Raw genomic sequence first — 15,545 nt, 5'->3', positions numbered from 1 at the left:
AAAAGGGGAAAATCTAGAGTTTGGGATGAGTACGGAACTGCATATTCAGTAGGTTCCATATTAAAACCACTGAGATTATATTATATTGAGGTCACTTTAAAATTTTATGCTAGTGGTATAGTGATTGTCAGAAAGCGATTGGTATTAGCACATCTTCTTGGATCTGGAAACTGAAGATACAAGTTTTTAGTCATAAAGGGAGTGAATTTTAAAAAAGAAATTAAGACTATATGATATTTAGATATTTTAATTATTTAAGCTTTGCTCCTATTGTGTTATTTTTAATATGATAATTGGAATACATGTGGTTAGATATTTTAATAAAATATGAAAAAATTACAATTGACATAATTAACCATCCCAGGGTTATGAGACAATAACCAATACACTATTGTCTAACAAATAGTATCTCAGCTCTAATTGCAGCTAAACTGTCCAGCATAAAGAAAGCATTTTAGAAATTCTAGCCCTGCAAAGCCATATTATACAGAGGAATCTTGGACCCTCATCTGAATTCCTATAGCTGTTACTGTCTGTTACGTTCATTTGACACAGAGGTACCATCATATGTTGAGCATTTTGTGTGTATATATCTCATCTTGTCCACTAGACCACAAGTCCTTTAAGAGAAAGGCCTTAGACTTTATATCTCTAACAATTCTTTGTGTAGATGGTGCTAATTTAGTCTTATTACAAGGTGCATAACATGCAGATTTCTTTTTTTTTTTGAGATGGAGTCTCACTCTGTTACCAGGCTGGAGTACAGTGGCACAATCTCGGCTCACTGCAACCTCCGCCTCCTGGGTTCAAGCGATTCTCCTGCCTCAGCCTCCCGAGTACCTGGGATTACAGGCATGTGCCACCACGCCCAGTTAATTTTTGTATTTTTAGTAGAGACAGGCTTTCACCATGTTGGCCAGGATGGTCTTGATCTCTTGACATGTTGATCCGCCCACCTCGGCCTCCCAAAGTGCTGGAATTACAGGCGTGAGCCACTGCACCTGGCCAACATGCAGATTTTATATTAAATTTTTTTTGCTTGTAATGCCTAACAATAATGAAGAGTACCTGGGTAATAGTACTCTATGAACCTAAGAATAGTTTAAAATTAAAGCTACTAAAAACGAAATAGAAATGACTATTTTAGCTTTGGCATGGGACATTTTTGGTGTGTAATTTTGATAACAATGTGTTGTTGATAATCTCACACTGGAAAGGCTAAATATAATGCATGTGCCATAATATATAAGTATGCTTAAAGTTCTTGTATCTGTTACCAAGGTTTTTGTTTATAATCCTTGAAATACTGTCATAGTCAAATTGCATTGGAAGAGAAAAGTCATGGAAACATTTTCATTTTAATCTGTTTACTGAATTTTAGAGTTGCTTTTTGTTGGCCCAGGTTTTCAAAGAAATGACATTTGGTACTGTAGTCAGTGCTTGCTATTTGTTTTTTAACTACAGTAATACAAGATCATCTTATTTCTCTATATAAAGGGAATTCTGCTCTGTATAATTCCTGAAGAATTAATTCAGCCATTATTTGAGACAATGTGAAAGAAACAATCACTGTAAAGTGACACAAAAATAATTTCAATTAGATTCACAGTGTTCAGTTTGCAGGCTCTATCATGACATTTAGATGCTAGAGTTAAACTATGTGATCCATTAACAATTAGACATTAACACCCTTTTCTTCTGTCTCTCTTCATGCAAATGGAGTGTCAGGAGTATAAATGCTGTCTGAACCTCAAGGAATTATAGAGGTAACTTTCTGCCCTCATTGTATGTCAAATTACTAGACTATTAGATTAACAAAAGAAATACTTATGACCTGCTGACCAGATTTTTGGCATCCCCTCAGCCTTCCAAATCCTGTGGTGATATTCAGTGCCTCTTAATTTACACGACAAAGCAAATGTTGTATGAAAGCAAGGTGGTTATTGAGCCTTGGAGGTTGCTAATAGCTTTGCAATTATCCCTTGCACTTTCATGGTGGCGGAGTATAGATGGCATCTTTGGTTCCTTCCAATTCTAATATTTGAATAATTTTAACAGTTATGAGAAATAGTTGAGCTGCTCTCAGTGGCTACTGTGGTCAAATGCCAGGATTCCTGCTAAATATGTACACGTGTAGCTATGCACAAAACGAAAAACACTTGGTCCATGCAAATTAATTTTCAAAAATAAGCATAGTGACCCTCTGTGTCTTTGTGCATACCCTCTGCTCTAGTCTGAAATGTCCTTTGGACCCTCTCTCAGGTCATGAGTCAAAGGTCACTTCCACTGTAAGATCATTTTCGGCTGCTCCAGAAGGATTAGGAACTTTGTCCATGATTCCCGTTTCTCCAGGCCTCACCAGCCTTTGAGTTTCACGTAAATAATAATACCTCAAATAAGTTGTACATGCCCCCATCTGTTTGACACATGACTACAGGTTTCTTTAAAGATCCTTCCCCCAAGAGTTTCTGGAACGTTTCAAGGGTTCCCTTATGTGTATTTGTTACAGGTAGTTAGACAGATATGAGTGGGGCAGGAGAGGGCTCTTCCCCCACCCACCAGTTAATGTCAGGTGATGGTTCAACAATTATCACATTGCCTCTCTAAAAATGATAATTCGGCAACCGTGCCAGGGAGAGACAATCTCCTGATGGTCCACAGCTGTTACATTAGAGTGTTAATTGAATGCAGGCACCAGGGAGAAGCAAAAAGAGCTTCCAATAAAATCGCAGGTACTGGGTGAGTGAGCCTGGGCATGTACATTAAGAGACAAAATGGTGGAGTATGACCTTCTGGGGGCACTCCACCGGAAAAGGGAAGAAACCCTCAGATGGGCATGCATGCAACTTCTAAACACACTGCGCGTGCTCACCTCCCAAGCGTAAGGAGGGCACTGCGCATGTGGGCAGCCCACACTAAGGGAAGAAGCATGGGAAAGGGGTGCAATACACCAGAAGTGGGTCAGCCTATAAAGTCCTAAGATCAAAGTTAAATGCCACACTTGACCTTCTTGGTGCCCACCTGGGTCTCTTCCAAGTGTACTTTCCTTTCTTTCCTGCTCTAAAGCTTTTTAATACAATTTCACTCCTGCTCTGAAACTTGCCTTGGTCTTTTTTTCTGCCTTATTCCCCTCAGTTGGATTGTTTCTTCTGAGGAGGCAAGAACTGAGGTTGCTGCAGACCCATGTGATTCTCTGCCAGTAACTCAGATACTTTCTACCAGTAACATATTTATGAACAAATCAGTCCACTGAGTGCAACAGCACCTTTACCAGGCTGCCTACTTCTTTTACTTGCTCTTGTTTGTCTCTAGTATTACCCTCTATTGATGAGGGATCCCATGGAATGATGCCTATAACCCCAAGTACTTTGTAACTGCCCATCGGGTTTACCTCACCTGCTGCCTAGACAAAGCCAATTTATCAAGACAAGGGAATTGCAATGGAGAAAGAGTACTTCATAGAGCTGGCTGTGTGGGAGACTGGAGTTTTATTACTCAAATCCGTCTCATGGAGAATTTGGGGATTGGCGTTTTAAACAGATATTTTGGCGGCTAGGGGCTAGGAAAGTGGGAAGTGCTGATTGGTCAGGTTGGAGGTGGAATCATAGGGGATCGAAGTGAGGTTTTCTTGCTGTCTTCTGTTCCTGGGTGGGAAGGCAGAACTGGTTGAGCCAGATTACCAGTCTGGGTTATGTCAGCTGATCTATCCAGTGCAGGATCTGCAAATATCTCAAGCACTGATCTCAGGTTTTACAATAGTGATGTTATCCCCAAGCAATTTGGGAAGTTCAGACTTTTGCAGACAGAGGCTGCATGACCCCTAAACCATAATTTCTAATCTTGTAGCTAATTTGTCAGTCCTACAAAGGCAGACTGGTCCCCAGGCAAGAAGGGGTCTTTTCAGTAAAGGGCTATTATCAATTTTGTTTCAGAGTGAAACCATAAACTGCACTTCTTCCCAAGGTTACTTCGGCCTATGCTCAGGAATGAACAAGTACAGCTTAAAACTTAGACGCAAGATGGAGTCAATTAGGTCTAATCTCTTTCACTGTCATAATTTCCTCAGTTTAAAATTTTTGCAAAGGCGGTTTCAACTTAAGAGTTTAGGACTTATTTGAGGCTGGATCAAGAGGCTAATACAAATGACATACATCATGTTCTACCCAATATCACTGCACCCCTAGAGGACTGACTGTACTCCTGGACCCCTCTTTTCTCAGGAAGAGTGATTCCAAGATGCTCCTTAGCACATGGACTTTAACTGGGTTTATTCAACCAGTTTGCAAGATATGTCTATTCTTGTCTGATCATGCACAGACTCAAATTGAGACTCCCATAATTTTATTTTAAAATGATAAGCTGCATCTTTAAGATGATTTGATGTAAGACCTGGTAGGTGTAAGATCCACTGAAAGAGAGAAAATCATTTTCTGCAATTAGATAACCCAGTGACTCCCATCCTTAGTTATCTCGGTTGTTTCTCTTAGTTTGTGTACACTGATTCCCCCATCCTCACCTCATCCCACTACTTGTACTAACTCGGTTCATGGCAACTCCCAGAAATCTTTCCATACAAACCTTGATTATTGTCTTCTGTGACCCTGACTCATGGATGAGATAGGAACCCTGAATACCTTTTTCTCAATCTTCCTATCCAGCTTCTATCTTATTGGATACAGCTAGTATAGCCCTTCTCCCACTCTACTGTAATAATTCAATATTGTCAACTCTGTCCCAAGTTCAGATAATTTTGGTAATGGGTATTGCCAGGTGCTCTTTTCATGAGCAGTTTTCCCAGGCCTATATCCAGCTTCTCTGCTTTCTGTATTAGGATGGTAGGCACAAACAGGCTGGCAAGTGTTGTCAGAGAAATGGCTGTCAAATATGCTGATGAAAAGTCTGTTTTGCTTGAGAGATATTAAGAAAATAGAAAAATCTATATAAACCTCATTTTTATATTTTTTAAGAAATTAGATTGTTTTAAATTAACAGCTTAATTAAGATATAATTCACATATAACACATTTCACCCTTTTAAAGTGTACATGTTAATATTGTTTAGCATATTTACACATATGTGCAATCATTATCACAGTCAATTTTAGAACATTTTCATCACCTCAAAAAAAAAACAAAACAAAACAAAACTGTGCACCCTTTAACTATCACCTTCATCCCATAAACCTTCCCAGACCTAAGTAAACACTATCTACTGTCTCTATGGATTTGCTTATTCCGGATATTTCATATAAATAAAATCATCTAGTATGTGATCTGTTGTGACTGTCTTCTTCCAATTAGCATAATGTTTTCAAAGTTCATCTCTCTGGTAGCACGCATCAGTATCTCGTTCTTTTCTATGACTAAATAATGTTTCATTGTACAGTTATGCTATAATTTGTTTATCCAGTCATTCATTGATGGACATAGGACTGTTTCCATTCTTTGGCTATTGTGAATAGTGCTGCAGTGAGTCACATGCGTACACGTACTTCTTTGAATACTTGTTTTCAATCTTTTGGGTATATACCTACGAGTGAACTTGCAGGGTAATAAGGTAATTCTATGCTTTTTATTTTTATTTTTATTTAGGCAGGATCTCACTATATCACCCAGGCTAGAGTGAATTGGCATGATCATGGCTCACTGCAGCCTCGACCTCCCAGGCTCAAGTGATCTTTCCACCTCAGCCTCCAGAGTAGCTGGGACTACAGGCATGTGCCACCATGCCCAGCTAATTTTTAAATTTTTTTTAGAGACGAGGTCTCATTACGTTGCCCAAGCTTGTCTTGAACTTTTGGGCTCAAATGATTCTTCCACCTCAGCCTCCCAAAGTGCTAGCATTACAGGTGTGAGGCACTGTGTCTGGTCTTATGTTTGACTTTTTGAGAAACCCCCAAACTGTTTTCCATAGTGGCTGAACCATTTTCCATTCCCTACCAGCAATGTTTAAGGATTCCAATTTCTCCATGTCTTTACAAACACTTGTTCTTTTCTGTATTTTCAATGATAGCCATCCTAGTGGTTGTGCATTGTTGCAGTTGTGATTTGCATTTCCCTAGTATCTAACGATGTTAAATATCTTTTCCTGTGCTTATTGGCCATTTATATACTTTCTCTGGAGAAATCTCTAAGTGATTTGCTCATTTTAAATTGGGTTATATGTCTCTTTGTTGTTGAGTTGTAAGAGTTCTATATATAGTCTGGATAGTAGGCCATTTTCAGATACATGATTTTTAAATATTTTCTTCCCTTCTGTAGGTCATCATAACTTTCTTGATAATGTTCCTTCATGCAGAAAATATTTTAAAAATTTTTGACGATGTCTAACTTATCCATTTTTTCCATTCTTATCCATTGTTGAACATTCTTATCCATTGTTCATGCTTCGAGTGTCATATCTAAGAATCCACTGCCAAATCCTAGGTCATCAAGATTTACCTTTATGTTTTCTTCTAAGAGTTCTATGGTTTTGGCTCTTATTTTTAGGTTGATCATCCATTTTGAATTAATTTTTGAATATGGTATGAGGTAGGGGTCCAACTTTATTCTTTGCATGTGGATATCCAGTTGTCCTAGCACAATCTGTATAATAGACTATGTTCCCCCATTAAATGGTCTTGGCTCCCCTGTTGAAAATCAGTTGACTATAGACACATAGATGTATTTCTGGACTCTCAATTCCATTCCAGTGATCTATTATGTCTCTCCTTATGCCAGTACAACACTGTTTTGATTACTGTCGTTTTGTAGTAAGTTTTAAAATCAGGAATTGTGAGCCCTCCAACTTTTGTTCTTTTTCAAGATAGTTTTGGCTATTCTGAGTTTCTTGCAATTCCATATGAATTTTAGAATCATCTTGTGAATTTCTACAAATAAGCCAGCTGGAGTTCTGATAGAGATTGTGTTGAATGTGTCAATTAATTTGGGGAATATTGCATCTTAACAATATTAGATCTTCTGATACATAAAAAAAGATATTTTTCCAATTATGTAATCTTCTTTAGTTTCTTTCAACAGTTTTATAGATTTCAAAGTATACGTTTTGAACTTATTTTGTTAAATTAACAAAATTGTCTTGTTTAATTGCCCTGGCTAGAACCTCCAGTACTCTGTTATGAACAAATGGCAAGAATGGAATCCTTGTCTTGCTCTTAATCTCAGGGAAAATGCATCCAGTCTTTCACCATTAAGTATGACATTAGATGTGAGTTTTTCATAGATGTCCATTACCAGTTTAAGAAAATTTCTTTCTATTCCTAGTAAGAAATTATGTCTTTTAAATCAAAACATATGCAATTAAATTTAGGCATTAAAAATTATTATTTTTCCATTACTAAAGGGTTTCATTTTTCTGACAAATATTTCAGAGTTTAGGAATCTCCTGGTCTTTAAAAAGCAATATTTCATTAAACATTACCCTGTAGCTAAACTCTGGCCAAATTTATATTTTTGTCTCCAGATCTTTCAATCTCCCTCTCCCTATGTTACCTACTGGTTTTATTACACAAAAAATGTACTCAAATGTCAAGTGTTGTAATTAGATATTGCAGAGAGTGGGGATTTAAAATACTAAGTGATGTTCTTTACTACTCCCAAACTATAGAATAGATTAGAATGAAACCAATACTCTTGATACAATCTGTCCCTAAAATAGAAGCACACAGGAGCTAATCTTTATTCCTGGGTCTTTTCTCTTTCACCTTCACCTTCACTGTGTCGTGTACCTTGTGTCCAAGGTCTCTGGTGCCATGCCTTTGGCAATGCCTTGGAATTGTTTCTGAGTCAATCCTCTTGAGACAAGCAGCTTCTCTACTTAACCTGATGCAGCAGTAATGCAAAGGAAGACTTTCTAAATACTACACCTATGGAAATGAGTAGAATCACTGCTCAATAACTAGTAATTTAAGATTCGTATTCTAGAAATTAAATCATGGGAAATATTTCAAAACTAGATAGATTTTATGCAGTCTGAGGGTTGCTTAGCATTGCTTCAATACGTGGAGAAGCATAACCCTCATGGATCAGCAAGGGAAAAGCCACAGGACTTTGAAGTATGAATTATCTCTGTCTCCACACAAGAAGAGACTCAACTCAAATAGATAAATAGCTTTTTTTTTTTTTTGCCACAATCATTAAGTGGAAGCATGGATGTTTTGAATACCAAGGAATACTCAAGAATATATTATGCTGCATCTATCAGGAATGCTTTTAGTTGCAAATAACAGAAAATCTGAGTAAGAGTGGATTAAACAAATAAGAATTTATTTTTCTCACTTAAGTCTAAATGTGGTTTTCAAAGTGTGATCCACGGACCCCTGTGGGTCCTCAAGATCTTTTTAACAATAATTATAAGATTTTATTTGCCTTTTTTCCTGTTAACATTTGTATAGATGATGCTAAAGCAACAGAGGCTAAAACTGCTGGCATCTTAGCAAAGGGGTGACACCAAACTGTGCTGGCAGTAGTCATTGGTATCCTTCACTGCCATGAATTTGTGGAAAAAAAAAAAAAGCAAGTTCTACTTTAGAACATTCTTGAAGAAACAGTAAAATGTTAATTTTATTAAATCTCAACCCTCGAGTACACATTTTCTTAACATTCTGTGGGATAAAATGGAAAGTTTTAATAAGGTACTTCTGCTGCACACTGGAGTTTGATGGTTGTCTCAAGGAAAGAACTTGCAGAATTGAGTAACGAGCTGAATTGTCTGCTTTCCTCATGAAACATCATTTTTACTGTGGTGATACAGACTTGGGTATTTGGCAGATATTTTCTTGAAAATGAACAAAATAAGTCTGTCATTTTTAAGGAAAACAATTTAAAGTATTTGTTGCTGATAATAACATTCAAGCTTTCAAGTGAAAATTAGAGTTCTGGAAAAACTTACATCTGCCACCATGAGCTTGTCAGCTTCCCAACTTAAAGACTTGGTGGAATCAATGGTGGTATTAACAAATGTGATTTTTCGATATTTCATTATAAAATGGGTCATTAATTAGAAGTCCTGCATCACTCAGTGGGCCAGTATTTTCCAAATAATAAATTAATACCTCATGGTATGAACTAATAAGTGGATAGAAGACCCATTCAAAATGAAAGATTGAAAAATAGCTTTTAATATAATACAGTATGAAAAGCTCATTGATATGACTTCAGCTTCCATATTGCAATTGATCTTTTAAAAAAAACTATCGCTTGTTAAATTTCAGTGTAGTATCAAGCAGAAATATCTACGTTATCTGAAAAGGCCATTAACATACTCCTTTTTCAAACTAAATACCTGTGTAAGGCTAGAATTTCTTCATATAATTGAACCAGAACAGCATATTACAGCAGATTGAATTCAGAAGGAGATGAGTCCAGCTGTCTTCTATTATTCCAGACTTTGAAGAAATTTGCAGAAATGTCAAACAGTACTACTCCTTTCCCTAAATTTATTTTTTGAAAATATGATTTTCATGAAAATGTTTCTTATGTTAACATGTAATAGATATTCTTTTTATGTTTAAATAAATTAATAAATAAAATTTTAAAAAATCTCTCCATTTTTATTTATACTATGGTAAACATCAGTGGATATGTTCCATATTAGAGAAAGGTTTTAGGCAATCCTCAATAATTTTAAAAAACTCTTTACTTTGAAATAATTTTAGATTTACAGAAGAGTTACAGAGATAACAGCTTCTACATATCCTTTATTCAGCTTCCTCTGTTAACGTTTTATATAAACATTACACATTTATCAAAGCTGAGAAATTAATATTCCTCAATAATAAGTGTGATTATAAAGAGTTCTGAGACCAAAAAGTTTGAGATCTGCTGTTCTACAGGTAAGCAGTTGCTAATATTGGTTCAGCTGCTCAACAGCACCATCAAAGACCCAGAAATTATGTCTTTTATTTCCTTTCTATTGTCTTTTTGTCTTATGATTATCATCTCATGGTTGTAAGATGGCTCAGAGGTCCAAATTTCTCTTCTTAGTCTAAGGCTGAAATAAGAGGGAAGACAGTGTCAGCAAGCTCTCCTTTTATGCCCTGTCCCTTTTACCAGGAAGCAAAATGTTTTCTAGCAAGAGCCCACCATGCTCTCTTTAATATCTTATTGGTCAGAACTCACCAAGCTATAGCTTGGCCTAGAGGCCCAACCCTAGATAAATTGCTAGGGGAAGACAATGGAACTAAAATGACTAGAACAATTAGCTTACCAACTGGGGCTGGGTTAGAGCTCTGTCCACCCTGAGATTAAGGGATATCTACCTACTCCTTGAAAAAAGTCAGGTTCTAGTATTAAGGAAGAAGAGTGGAGACAATTGCTTTTAGGTGGAGAATTGGTATTTTAACTGTCAGGCTGGAATTTCTATAAGAGATTATAGGATTGAAAAGTGAACGGGCTACTGAATACATCCTGATTTTACAAGTGTGGAGGGAGTGGTGGCATTATTTGGGACTACATCTAGCCACTTTAAACACCTGGCACACAAATACTAGCACTAGACCTTGAATTGCTATTTATCAGCAACTCCCTCTACACATTTCATAGTAATGTATAAGAAGATGGCAAATAAGAGAGTAACTCTCAATTCCAATTTATTCCATTGACAATAATTCCAGGAAATCTCAAAATGTGAATGAAAATGACTTTCATCTGAAGGGCTTGCCAGGATGTAGGGTAGAAGGTGAGGTTGAAGAGGAAATTTAGGGCTAGGACTTAGGTGTTTCTCTATTCGCATAACATGTGGAGTGAGCACAAAAGGAGCAGCACATCATAAAATTGAATGACTCAAAGCCATTCTGGGAATAATGTAGGAGGAAAACTGTGCCAGAGACCCATAAAGAAAGAACTCTTAGAGAATAGAATTGTCATTAAACCCCACTGTCAATATGCTTGTAATCATAGTAGTACAAAATCTGGAAAGATTCCAATACATATAGATTAATATGCTTTTAACCTGCACACTAAGAGTATACAGAACCTTAAATATAAAGTGCTTTGCACTGTTTGGTAAGCAGCCAGTATTTTATCATACTAAATTTATAAAAGAATATTATTAAGTTGGTGCAAAAATAATTGCGGTTTTTGCCATTTGGCAAAACCAGACAGGAATAGTAGCAACTATTTGGCAAATGTCACGGGCCAGCAAACAGGAATAGTAGCAATCATTTGGCAAAAACTGCAACTACGTTTGCACAAATCTAATATCGTATATCTGACTCATGAGCATAACAAAGTATGTATGTATACAAGGAAGTAACTCAAGGGAAATTCACTTTATCTTGGTCTATGTCATTTCCTACTGTAGTGACCTGGACATTGGATTTCTTTTACCTAAGTCTCAATGCAAGCAGCTGTTCTATACCTCTTATTCCTTGGAATCTTCTTACAAAGTATGAGGAGTAGTATAAGCCTCTTCTTCTAGCTTAGTATATGTAGTGTTAAATCCAGATGTAAATTTTGTGATTGCTACATATTATAAGCAAGGACAATCCTTTCAACTTGGTCACTGTATAACAGAAAGCATTCATAGCAGCAACTCCCACCCCACCCAGAGACAGAATGCATAAATCTGCCTTTGGGATTCCAGTGTATTAAAACACTGGAACTGATTACTTAACCTACTATCCCAGGTGTATTCTACAGTTGGAATTCATGTGTTTTCTTGAATCATTTTGGGAATCACTTCTATGTATAGGTTACTCTATTCCCTCTAATTAGCAGGGTAGCCCACAGTAGTCTTCTAACAGACCACTTTCAAAATAGTCTATTAGCTTGTATGGTGATAATCCCCAGCTTTGTTTATGTATCTCTCCCAAGATCCCAAGGTATTTTTATCCATAGGACACAAAAGCTACTGATTCCTGTTCTGGAATTCTGCGCTAACAACTGATTTATTTACACTGACTGGTTACTACAGAAATGGGAGAAACGTAAGCACATAGGCTTGGTTTGTCATATTATACAATAACTAAAACACCCCTCCCCTTTAAAAATGTTCCTCATTACCCAATATTCTGTCCAGTAGTTCCTCTGGTGCTGTCCCACAGTGCTATCCATCCAAGATCATAGTAGGCCTGTATTTCTGGGTGCTAGAGAGGACACCCCCAACTCTGGGGTCAGAATGTTCCTAAGGCAACAGTTAAGAGTTAGGGAAGTGCCTATACTTCTGCTATGTTTAGGGGAATGACTGCATTTAATGGTGGAATTTTACAGAATTTTAAATGGGATTTTTTCATCACAATTTCTGCTAAACTCCTAAAGCTGAAGAGAGTAAGTGTGAAGTACCCACCCCTCATTCTAAAATAAGCAACAAGTAGCTGTAAGACACCCACTCTAAGGCTTTCTACCAAATATTTAAACTGGTTCTGTTAACCACACTCCCATATGCTTCCCAGCCAAGCTATATAGGAAGAGAAGTGTGTTGAATTAAATTAATTCATAACGATAAGTAAGTGAGTGGTGGAGAGAATGGGATATTTCCTACAGTCTTGATACTTCCTTTAGATTGGAGAAGGAAGAAATAGAAAGAAATATGTAGATCATAAGAACAAAGAAGACAAGGATCCTTCACCCTGAAGCTTTGCAGTGCAGATGGTGAGATCTCATGACCCCAGACAGGAAATGGCTGTGGTATGTGTTGTCTAAGATGGGACCAAAAGAAACCTAATAAATTATACCCATGTCCCAAATGTGGCACTGAACAATAAAAAGATTACCATGGTCTAAGTAGGCACTGAACAGTAGCTCTCTGCTGGACCCCCTGGGACACCAGACAGCAATAGTAGTAACTACCGCTGGCAACCTACGTGAACTGATAGGCAGGAACTAGAGGCAGGAACTAGATAGCTCCACCTTTTTCCCCCATGCCTTAGCATTGTATAAGACTTACATGAAGGATTGTCAATTTCTCCGTCTTTCTAAGAAGGGCTCATTATAGGATAGCCTTAGACTCTTAAAAAACACAACAAAAGTTGTATTCAGGGGTGATGGAGCTGGAAGGAATATGGCAGGCCTGTCAGGCACATTTTGAGCATTTTCAGGAGAATTGGTGGGATTAGAAAGCAAGGGATCCATGTGTATTGCACTAGAGGCTAATGTTTCTTCTAGAAAAGAATTTAGGGGAAGAATCAAGATGAATGAATTCCACTCTGGAAAAAGACCAGTGCTTAAGGACAGAAGGGAAGTGGACTCTAAGTATAATATGGTGTATATCAGATTGTATTCTAGGCCAGGCTCAACAAACTCAAGTCTGGATCCTTTAGCAAGGAGCCTGCAGCAAAAAGGGTAAATCTAATTGAGACATTCAAAGCCAAATAACCTGCAGCATTGGCACCAACAGTTTTGGCACTAATATGATACGGTATCTGTGGTGCCATATGTGTTTAGCTTCCTAAGTAGGTACTAAATGATAGCTCTCTGCTAGACCCCATGGGCCATCACACATGGATAGTAACAAATTCCTGTGATAATAACAAATTACCAAAATCTTGGTGGCTATTCCAGCTTCTGGTGGCTCTTGGCATTCCTTGGTTTATGGCAGCATAACTCCAATTTCTACTTCTGTCTTCACACGGCCTTCTCCTCTGTGTGACACTGTGTGTTCTTTTTTGTCCCTTATAAAGATACTTCTATCGGATTTAGAGTCTACCCTAATCATAGTATGATCTCATCTCAACTCTTAATTACATCTTTAAAGGCCCTATTTCAAGGAAGGTCACATTTTGAGGTTCCAGGTGGATATGAATTTTGGGGGAGGTATTATTTAACCCATTAAAATCAGCAATCTCAGTGCAGGCATCTGCAGCATTATCACAGGAGGGAGTCAGCATCTGTAATATTGCCTTGGTGCAGCAAAGATATTAGGCATTGATGTTCTTGCTAAAGGTATTCGCATCCTGAAGCCATCTGTGTAGAGCGGCAATGGAACATGTTTTAGCAGTAGATGGGGACAAGAAATGACTGAGATCTTATAGAAGGAGACTGCTGTAAGGGCTGCAAGCTGGGTAAATTAGTCAAAAAGCTCATATTGGCCAGGCTCCATGGCTCATGCTTGTAATCCCAGCACTTTGAAGCGGTGGATCACTTGAGGCCAGGAGTTTGAGATCAGCCTGGCCAACATGGTGAAACACCATCTCTACTAAAAAAAGTTAGCCAGGTGTGGTGGCACTCTCCTGTAGTCCAGCTACTCGGGAGGCTGAGGCACAAGAATTGCTTGAACCTGGGAGGCAGAGGTTGCAGTGAGCTGAGATTGCGCCACTGCACTCCAGCCTGGGTGACAAAGTGAGACTCCATCTCGGGGAAAAAAAAATAAAAAAAAAAAAAAGCTCATATTAAGAACCTGCTTAGCTGAATCCCAGTGCATTACAACTAAATCTCATCATATTAGTCAGGGCAAGCAAAAGTGGAACAAAGATGATAAAACGGTTATTGACTGGACAATTGCAAGGAAGTTTCAAGTACCAAGAGAGAAGGATGGACTTAGCAGTGACAGGAAAAGCAAAGAGGGCTTAGCTAGATGTAATAAACTTTATATGAGATTCTAAAGTTGACTGCAGAATTTCTTCAAATTTATGGATGGGACTGGTTGTGTATGCAGTTTGCTGGGGTTCTGGCCACCAACATGGGGAGATAAACATTAACTCCATATGTTACCCCTGGTTAACAGGAAGGAAGACAGAGAAAAGTAATCAAGAAAGCCAACCAATCAATGAGCATAAATGATGTCAGCTATGACAGTGTCACAGTTAAAGAGCAGGAACACTGGAAAACTTAAAGGACAATAAGAAGGGAGTTGGCCAAGGGATATTTTTACTACTTCTATGAGGAAAGAGAGACCAACAAAATGATATGCTTCCTATCATTACCATGTTGTCTAGTATTACCTTAAGTTGGGTGTAACTGCAGAAAATATTCAGAAACATTGATCAATTTCCACTTCAGAAAGGGAGTCTATGGACAAATAACAACTGTGCTTATTTTCCAGGTTGATGGTACCTTCAGTTCCACAAGCCTAAAATTTATTAGAAATAATACTAGCAAGAATCAGAAACCTACATCGACACTGCTTTACATGAGTGATAAAGTCTCTATTCTTTCCCATCTCTAGTAACCACTTTGATCATAACACATAGTATACATGTGTTGAGATATTACACTGTGCTCCACAAATATGTACAATCCGCATGTGTCAATTGAAAATAATAATTAAAAAAATTAGAAAGTCTCAAAGGGTCTTTTTCTCAGGCACTGTTTTTATTGACATTATTGCAACACAACAAAACAAAAGTGTACTTTTTATGGTCTGGCCAAAGACATAGAGATATTTCCATCCAAATAAAAAATTGGGATAGTCTGTCAACACTATTTTTTTTTATGATTTGCTTGTTTACTTCTACAGAAGAATTAGAATTAAAACACCTTTAGCCGCACATTTTAATTTTTTAGTAGAAAATAAAATAGTATATAATTGGACTGTCCCAGAAATTCTGGGGTGTATTTTTGTCTTATTTGTACAGTTAACATTTTGATAACTATTTCAACTTCATGCCA

General features: G+C 37.5%; 1 long non-coding RNA gene across 1 annotated transcript in view, besides 1 other annotated feature; it reads left to right on the top strand.

The window, feature by feature from the left end:
* The window catches only part of LOC107985714 (uncharacterized), a 114,069-nt gene that overhangs the window by 56,611 nt on the left and 41,913 nt on the right, over window positions 1–15,545 (top strand). The window lies entirely within an intron of this gene.
* Window positions 1,450–2,269: an enhancer, noted in NCBI's record as "OCT4-NANOG hESC enhancer chrX:95738459-95739278 (GRCh37/hg19 assembly coordinates)". NCBI's record gives its function as "activates a minimal SCP1, AML or CMV promoter by ChIP-STARR-seq in naive and primed H9 embryonic stem cells {active_cell/tissue: H9 hESC(naive and primed)}" and the evidence as "EXISTENCE:reporter gene assay evidence [ECO:0000049][PMID:30033119]".

The sequence above is a fragment of the Homo sapiens genome, chromosome X (assembly GCF_000001405.40).
Source record: "Homo sapiens chromosome X, GRCh38.p14 Primary Assembly".
NCBI classification, from domain to species: domain Eukaryota; kingdom Metazoa; phylum Chordata; class Mammalia; order Primates; family Hominidae; genus Homo; species Homo sapiens.
The sequence above is the reverse complement of the archived record's forward strand: the minus strand, read 5'-3'. Positions and strand labels throughout refer to the sequence as shown.